The sequence below is a fragment of the Homo sapiens genome, chromosome 4 (genome assembly GCF_000001405.40).
Source record: "Homo sapiens chromosome 4, GRCh38.p14 Primary Assembly".
In the NCBI taxonomy this organism is placed as follows: Eukaryota; Metazoa; Chordata; class Mammalia; order Primates; family Hominidae; genus Homo; species Homo sapiens.
In genome coordinates this window covers 170,737,039-170,746,716 of record NC_000004.12, presented here as the reverse complement: position 1 = coordinate 170,746,716, position 9,678 = coordinate 170,737,039, and the positions used below count along the sequence as shown (strand labels likewise).

The following is a 9,678-nucleotide window of genomic DNA, read 5'->3' as shown; positions in this document are numbered from 1 at the left end:
ATCACAAACAGAGATGTAGAATACAGGAACTAAGACAGGTATTGGGTGTAATATGCATTGCCATCTTGCTTGTGGTAGTCGCAACAGCTGATATATTTGTATATTTCTGTGCCAATCCCAAAATGCCCTGATCATTGTAAACTTATAGCAGTTTTTCTTTTTTTTCCAGTATGGTAAAGTACAACTTATTAATTTTTTTGAAGATTACTTACAATGTTCATTCTTTCATAAGATTGTTGAATTATTTTCCATTTTCCACTCATTCTAACACATTGACAATAAAAAAATACAAAAAAGTATTTGAATTAAATAATATTTAGAAATATTTTTGTAAAGAATTAACATGCTTATGATATAAAGACATGTCAACAAAGAAAGATTAATCTTTATTAGACATAGTAAGATTAAACCATATAAGAAGTAAGTAAGCCTGAACCTTGATGAATAAATATACTTTTGTTAGGAAGAGATGAAGGAAGACATTTTAACAAAGAAACCAATAGCCAAGTAAATGTGTGAAGACAAGACACTACAAGTCCCATGTGTATAATGCATGAACAGATTTATGTCTGGCTTTGTGACAGTTTAAAACTGAATAGGAGTAGTCACACAATTTCCCAAAAATTCTTGTAGCATTTTAAAAATAAATTTATAATAGGGTGTTCTCATTTTAAAGAGAAGTTCAGGGTGACAAAACGTAGCATATTATTAAGTCATTTTACTATCTTATGTCAAGAGATTAATGTCACAAAAATTACCAATTTTTGTTTCCCTTATTTTATTGTTTTCTTGAACAATGAAACACATGTATTAAATAATTAAAGGCCTGTGAATATATTTTCCAAACTTATTTTTATTCTGTAGTATGCTATTTTATTAAGTAAATCTTTTCTTCAAAATATTTCAGGCGATAAAGTGGATTGAGATAATTTGTATGGAAGACTGCATAAAATAAAACAATTGCAGTTATTAATGCCAAATGAGTACAGCATGTAAAAAGGGTAATAATTGTTATGCCTTTTTATATCTTGAAAGTGTTGGGAAGTTCCCAAATCTGATTGTAAAATGAAAAGATTAATTTGACAAAATGTAACAAAGCATAAGCATGTTTTTCACATGGTTTTATCACAAGAATATGTCATGTTTTTCTATGCCTCCTTTAAATGTTTCTCAATTGGAGTACCTTCTGGATCCTGGAAGACATTGTTTTCACTCACTGCCTTTTTGTATCAATTCTATAGAACACTGATCTCATTAGAATAAAACTGTGTATGTTAATGGTATAATTACACTGTACATGCAGATGGAGGCAATGTTAACATTCAAAGATCTCACTAAATTTTATAAAGGGATGATTTTGACTAATTTCATGAGTGCTCTTACCTTGACCATCCTTCTGTTTTCTGTTGTGAAAAATCTAGAATTTCCAGAAACATCAGAATATCATAGATTAACGAGAGGCAAGATTTTTCATAAAGCTATCTTCATACTCAAGAGGAATCAATGAGAAAAATTAATCTAAATCAATTCATTATTTTAAAAATTGGGAAAGTGATGGGCATGGTGGCTCATACCTGTCACCTCAGCACTTTGGGAGGTCATGGCTGGAGGATCACTTATGTCCAGGAATTCAAGACCAATCTGGGCAACAGAGTGATACTCTTTTCCAAAAAGCAAAACAAAACAAAGACAAACACTTTTTTCTTTCATTAAGGCACTCTATTCACATGTACAGTTGTTGTTTTTTTCTTTCTAAATTTTTAAAGTGTGGGTTTGAATATTCACTGTGGGTTGAGACAAAATTTAGAAACCTGACTTCTTACTCACCTGCAAATACAGTATTTTCTGCCAGAACCTTTCCTTAGTATTTGGAAGCAGATCTGAGCAATAGATAGGAACAGAACTAAACAAATTATTTGCTTTAGAATGGCCCAGATTTCCTTCAGGGGATTAAAGAGAGAAATGAACAACATAAGAAGGAAAGGAAGAAAGAACAAAGGCCAAATGACTGGGATTTCCTGGAGTGAGAGGAAAGAAGCAAAGAGAGAAGTTTGAGGAAGTATCTGCCGTTCATATGAAGGTTATTTATAGTGACTGGAGCAAAAACAATGATTTAAAATATACTTCAATGTATTAGGAACACATGGCCTACTCTTTGAAAAATGTGTCACAGATGTTGATAAAATTTTGAATAAATATTCATTGCTATTGTTTGCTGAACCGTGTTGCATTGAATACACCTTTGTACAGCATTGAATCATGTGGGCGCCAATTGTATAAATCTTTCTTCTGTATGCAGGTGTGTATTTAGCTGACTATTGTGGATTAGCAGTAGGACCTTTTGCAGTTATTTATACGAGGTAAAAAGAAATAAGGAGAAAGAAAAGAAAATTTGCAGCTACTTTGCAATAAAAAAGAAATAAAAGACATCAAACAAGAAATACATGAATATGTGAATCTCAGTAAGATATCTGGAAATACAGGTTTAATAATTTATTGGCCTATACTTTTCTAAATTTCACCCTTAATTCTGCCATTAATTCCTCAACTTCGTTCCCAGATCAGGATCTGTACTGTTACAGGAGGTAGTTAGTCAGACATGAGCAGGGCAGGAGAGAGCCCTCGGCCACCACCAGGAATATCTGGTGATGGCCAAACAGTTGTTAAGCTGGCTGTCTAAAATATTAATTGGTCACAGCTGGAGCGAGGGAAAGGCGGTCTCCAAATAGACAAAAACACCTGAAACTGGTAAACAGCTGCTTCCGAATAAGATCTCAGAGGTTGGGTAAGTGCGTTCAAGCAGGCACCCTAAAAGGCAAAATGATGGCGCTTAACTAGTATTTGACCTTCCTCTGCAAACATCCGACTGATAAGGGAAAAACGCCTCAAGTGAGCATGCGCACAACTTCCGTAAACACACTGTGCATGTGGCCCCTCCCAAGTGCTGGCAGGCCACTGCACGTGCGGACAGCCCAACCCAAGGAAAAATCAGTGGGGAAGAAAAAGGGGAGAAGGAATGCAACACCCCGGAAACATGCCAACATATAAAACCGTAAGTCAAAGGTCAAACCATGCACTAGAGTCTCTCAAGTTATCCATTTGCCCCTCTTCCGAGTGTACTTTACTTCCTTTCATTCCTGCTTCAAAGCTTTCTTATGAAATGTTCACTCCTGCTCTAAAGCTTGCCTTGGTCTCTCACTCTGCCTTATGTCCCTCATTCAAATTCTTTCTACTGAGGAGGCAAGGATTGAGGCTGCTGCAGACCTGTATGGATTCGCTGTTGCGAACTGTGCCACTTTAAAACAATACACCGAAATAAGAACAATACCTATATACTATGCATATGAGGCTGATATAAGGACTTCTTTGTCACCTTTGGGTACCAGAATAGATGTTAATGGGAAGAATACTGGGATGAAGAGACACATAATCTGCATTTTTTTTTCTTTTAGTTTTTGTCTAGGAATCCACAAGTTTTTAAGAACAATTATTTTACAGCTTTTAAGAGTGTTTCTTTTTTTAACTACAGTTTCCAGGAAATGGGAAAATATGTATATCTGACATTTCTCATTAGTGAGAATGAGAATGATATCTGTAATGTCAAAATGTCCTTTATTACTGGAAAAGTTCTTCCAGGGCTGTATGGGATTTTCATCTTTTGTGATCTGCTGTTTTTTCTTCCTTATAGAGCAGCTATGAGTACCATCACTGTGCTAAGAGGAATGTGGGTTCGAATTTCAGCACTAGCACTTCTTCACTGGATGATATTAGGCAAGAGGTTTCATCTCTTTAAGCCTATGTTGTAGAAAAATACCAAGCTAAGATACTGAATTGTGGTACCAAGAAGGACAGAGATGAAATCCTGGATAAATGGACACTAAAATAAAGCAGATCTGGGTTTGAATCCTGACTTCAATACTACCGGTGATGTGATTTATATGCCTAGGACTTGTGCTTCTAAGGCTCAATTTTATGCCTACAAAATCTTTATTAAAATGCACACCTTGAAGATCACTATAATTAAAGAACATATATAATGTATATGTTATATAATAAATAATTTGTCTAATCTTTGCCCCTGATTCCTGGTAGATGACCACTAAACTAAGTCTTTGGAATTTCTCAAGTGATAGTAGTGTCTTTGTTATTCATGGTGGGACCGTCAAGCATGAATGGTTATGATAATAGAGGACTCAGGATGAGAGCTGATCACCCCAGAAAGACCAACTTTGTAATGAGAGGATTGAGGATTTGAGCGAAGTGATATCTCCCTGATCACCTTCAGGAAGATGAGACAAGCTGAAGATTAAATTAAAGCCTGTGACCAATGATACAATCAATCATGCTTACATAATGAAACATCAATAAAAATTCTGGATACCAAAGTTCGGTGGCTCTTCCTGGTTGGTGAAAACATCAATGTGCTAGAAGGATGCCAATGGGTGCTGCACCTGATTCTACAATGTAAGGGTACAGAAGCTCTACATGTGAAACCCTCCCAGACTCCTCCCTATGTGTGTCTTCGTTTGACTAGTCCTGATTTGAACTTTTATTTAAAAAAAAAAAGTAATTGTTAGTAGAGCATTTTCCTGAATTCTATGAGTCATTTTAGTGAATTACCAGACCTGAGAGAGATGTGGGAATCCCTGAATTTGTAGACAATTAATCAGAGAATGCGTGGCCCAGGGACTCCCAAATTTGTGGTGGACATCCAAAGCGAGGCAGTCTTACTGGGGACTGTGTGCTTGTACAGTGTCTGCGCTAGCTCTGAGTGGTTAGTATCAGAATCACATTGCAGCATTGCTGTATATAACATGCCTAGCACAGTGTGTGGCTCATAGGTAACTGATGATGATAAGCATAACATTAATATTAGTATTCTTATGAATGGAGCAAAGGTAATCAAATACAAAGGCAGGTACCTTCCTAACACAGCTCCTTAATTGTAATTGGGTAAAGTTTTCAAATATTGTGTTCTTTATATTTGTTTTTAATTCAAGTGATGTAAGTTAATTATGATTTACAAACAAAAATATATATTATTTTATATTTCCCAATGTTGGAAGACTTTTGTAACAAAATTTCAAAGAAAATTTTTAAAACTTAGGATAATCTGACTTAAGTTGCAAACTCAACATAGTTGTTTGTATGTTTCCAAGAGAAACTGAATGATGAGAAATTTATGAGTACTATTTTTGTTTCCACAATAATAGAAAAATTATAGCATAGTCCTAACATGCAGTGCAATTGGTCAAATTAAACTTTTAAATGTGGTAGCATACATAAGTCTGTGCAAAATGAAGCAGGTAAGTGACTGTAGTATGTAACATAAAATAAATTCTGCCGCTGGGCACAGTGGCTCATGCCTGTAATCCCAGCACTTTGGGAGGCCGAGGTGGGCATATCACGAGGTCAGGAGTTCAAGACCTGCCTAACCAATATGGTGAAACCCCATCTCTACTAAAAACACAAAAATTAGCTGGGCGTGGTGGCATGCACCTGTAGTCCCAGCTACTTGGGAGGCTGAGGCAAGAGAATCACTTGAACCCAGGAGGCAGAGGTTGCAGCGAGCCGAGATCATGCCATTGCACTCCAGCCTAGGTGACAGGGCGAGACTCCATCTCAAAAGTAAAAATAAATAAATAAATAAATAAATAAATAAATAAATACATACATACATACATACATACATAAATAAATAAATCCTGCCATTTCCTCTGTAGAAACAGTACACAAGAGTGTCCCAGAACAAAACTAAATCAAATCTCCCATGCTACGTAGACCCTTTCTTCCAGTCACACTTAGCAGAACAAAATTTCTTTAAAAATTACTGTTTCCGATGCTCAGTAGAAAATAGAAGCCCCTGTGGTTCCAAAGCACACCACTTTATTCTGAAAACATGAGCAGTCTTAAAGAAAAAATACAAATTAATCAATAATGATTTTACCACAGACCACTTATCTGGAATAAATAACCTCAAAAAGTGAAAATGTTGAGGGCCATTAACACTACTCTTTCATTAATACCCAGGAAATGACTCAAACCACAGTCATTATAGCTATTCCACATCAATTTTCAAGAATCATTTGGAATAATAAGTGATGTGGCATTGACATAATTCTAAGCATACATAGCATGTCAGGGGCATAGTATCAAAATACATGTTCAACAGAATCATAATTTTTCATGGAATTATCAGGAATTTTTAAGCATAGATAATTTTCTCATATAATCTTATGCACAAAAGTTTTTAAACCCTCTGCATTTACTTTAATTAGCAAGGTTTTCTCTAACAGACAATCCTTGTTCTTCATGAGGTACATCAAAGTTTACTTTACCTGAGAATGAGAGGTCTAAGTGATGAACGCCTTGGTAACAGAAAATATTAACACCTGAAACAAGAAAAACTCTATGTTCTTTGACAAGTTGATAATAAATGTCCTTCTGTTCTTTGCTGTTACATGAAAGTCAGTCATGAATGCCTTTCACTGTACATGAAGACTGGGGTAATGAATAGAGACTGCACATTTTTGAAGAATTTTCTATGTTCAGAAAGAAAGAAAAACACAAACTATTGTGGAAGAAATGGCAGAGGAACTTAAGGCTGAAAAAATTATAAGTAGAGTTGCCCTTATGGCCCTTGCCATATGGTAATTCCTTAGGGAACCATTTTCTTTCTAGGTTTCCATTTAGGGAATGCTAGAGGTTCAGACTGTTAATTAGAATAGATGAAAGCATTTTGTCTATAGGGAATATGACTATGCTTGATCACTGTATAACAGATTAACAGAAACCTGGAAATGTTTATTCAGAGCTCTTGATAAATGTATTAGTCTGTTTTCATGCTGCTGACAAAGACATACCTAAGACTGGACAATTTACAAAAGGAAGAGGTTTAATGGACTTACAGTTCCACATGGCTGAGGCAGTCTCACAATCATGGCAGAAGGCAAGGAGGAGCAATTCACATCTTATATGGATGGCAGCAGGCAAAGAGAGAGCTTGTGTAGGGAAACTCCCCCTTATAGAACCATCAGATCTCGTGAGACTTATTCTCTATGACAAGAACAGCACAGGAAAGACCTGCCCCCATGATTCAGTTACCACCCACTGGGTCCCTCCCACAGCAGATTGAAATTCAAGATGAGATTTTGGCAGGGACACAACCAAACAATATCCATAAATAAAATTAATTTTAAAAATTATATATCTACCCAAACTGACAGAATATGCTAAATATTATTTACAAAAAACCACCTGAATATAGCAAGGGATTATTCATTTGTATTAGGAGCAGTAAGCTGAGAATAGGAAAAAATATATAAACTTTATATCTTCTATTGAGTAATTTGGCTTGAAAAATTAAATATCATAATATAGACTCAAATCTAGATGATTTTTCTAAATACATGTCCAGCAGAGTGGCTGGGATGGCAAATTGTTTCATTACCCCTCTAAGTTTTAGGATACTATTCTACAAAACATCACCCAATAATTCATGTGTAATAAATAATTTTAAAGTTATGCTATAAACTCTTACAATGGCTACTTTTGAGCCTCTTGCAAGATTCTTTACTTTCAGATTTTGCAAAAAGGTTTATAAAAAGAAGCAAGGTTTGGTTGTCACTCTAGCTATCATTGTGTCATGTGAACACATTGCCTATACTCAAGTCCTTCTAAGCAATTTTTAATATTTCTCTTTTCCTATATGCTTGAACATTGCCTATTGTACTTTGCGACGCTGCCACTGCCTGAAATAGCATCTTTGTTCCCCTCCAATGCTGGAACATCTGCCCATGTTTAAAACTATATCCTTCAGAAAGCCTGGTCTGAGCATGGTTATTCGGTGAGGGGCCTCCCTGTGTGCCTCCATCACATGCTGTATCAGAAGACCTACCAGGTGGTGCATAATTATTCAGTAACCTGAATATGCTCTGAGCTCAGTGAGGTAAAATGCTTCTTCCCTTATCTCCAGACTCACAGCACATAACACAGAGTCTGTCAGTAAGGACCAAAAAATATTTGTTGACAGCTTTTGGCTTTGGCAAAGTACACGGAAATAACATCAGTCCTTAACCCCAAGATGCTTATTGGATTTTTTAAAATGTGAGAACTCAGAAACTAAATTTCTATGGGAGAATAAATTAACTATAGCCTTTGTCCTTACAGCACATAACTTAAGTAGCATGTATCTTTTATCAGAGCCATCCCCAAATATGTCCCAAACAGAATCTTCTTATTTTAAAATAATAAAAAGGGCCTATATATTAGTGTACAGTTAAATGCTAAGTCATTCTAAAAATATATGCAATATTAATAGTCAAGATTAATAGAATTCCTTGTTTACTTAAAATTAGCCAAAATTGAGCTAATAAAACATAAAAATAATATTGTAAAAACATAACATAATATTGTTAGAACATAAAAATAATATTGTAAAGGGTTTATTTTAGATAGTAATTCATAATATGCCCAAATATGTCTGTCGACTCCTCCCTCACAACAAGTCGTCTAATTTCACCTCAGAAAATATCTAGCAACTTACACTCAGAAATGTGTAATGGAGATAGCACAGGACACGAATAACAAACACAGGTAATTTTTTTTATGTTTTATTCACATCTATCCCCAAACAGGTATTATTAATGTTGTTGAGGCTTAAGTAATGTTATATACTGTTTTTCAAGGCCATAAAATTCTTCATTATGAGAATTCAATCCTGCCTTCTGGCTCCATGTATGATATTGAGTTTCACCTTTGTGCCTGCAGAAAACCTGGGCCATCATCAGTAGTGCAGCAACTAAATGAGTTATATGGGACCCGCCACTTAACCTCCATTCACCTCCATCTCCTGACTAGCAAAATTAGAACCATTTCCCTCCAAGGTATCTTGCATCCCATGCAGTGAAGGATAATAACATTTTAAAACATGGCCTCTTCCTGATGATAGATTCTTTTAGACATCCTTTATATTTTATTATTCTTCAAATTATTTGAAAGTTTTCATTTTTACACACACGTAATAGTCAACTTCCAAAATTATTTGGGAAACAAAAAAGTAAAGAATGTCCAAAAGATTCTACCATCAAGGAATGTTATTATCTGGTGCCACTGATGACATTAAAAAATGGATAGCTTATAGTATTCAATACTAAAATGGTGTTTCCTTAAAAGAGCTTCTCAGTTAGTAATTATTTTTACCAGTTACTGTAACTCATTTATCCATTCAACAAATATTTCTTAATGCTTAGAAAACGTCAGATACTGCTCTAAGTATTAAAATACAATAGTGGACAAAAGAGACAAAATTTGGATCTTCCAAGGGATTTATAATTCAGTGGGGGAATTAGGCAATAATAAAGAAATACAGAAAAAACATATAGCATGTTAGATCATGATAAGTGCTATGGAATAAAAGTAGAGGAGGTGATAACAAGCATTGCAGGAAATTAAATATCCTGTTTCTGTTTTCATGAAGTAGAGCTGATGCTACAAAGGAAAGCTTACTTGGAGAGACAACCTGAACGCCATTAAGTTAAAGGTAAGAGATTTATAAGAAATAACAAAAAAATCTGAAGAGGTAGGAATATGCAACTACATATGGGGATATATATATATATAGCCATGTTTTCAGCATCCACACTTATGTGTTAAGTGTATCTACACACACACAAACAC

At 35.1% G+C, this 9,678-nt stretch overlaps 1 long non-coding RNA gene across 1 annotated transcript, besides 1 other annotated feature; it reads left to right on the top strand.

Moving 5' to 3' along the window:
• Positions 2,940-3,440: an enhancer, noted in NCBI's record as "H3K4me1 hESC enhancer chr4:171664428-171664928 (GRCh37/hg19 assembly coordinates)". NCBI's record gives its function as "activates a minimal SCP1, AML or CMV promoter by ChIP-STARR-seq in naive H9 embryonic stem cells {active_cell/tissue: H9 hESC(naive)}" and the evidence as "EXISTENCE:reporter gene assay evidence [ECO:0000049][PMID:30033119]".
• LINC02382 (long intergenic non-protein coding RNA 2382) lies at positions 2,982-4,248 on the top strand. The gene is made up of 2 exons (NR_134683.1): positions 2,982-3,052; positions 3,689-4,248. It is a non-coding gene; the product is annotated as a long intergenic non-protein coding RNA 2382 (long non-coding RNA).
• The last annotated feature ends 5,430 nt before the right edge of the window (positions 4,249-9,678 follow it).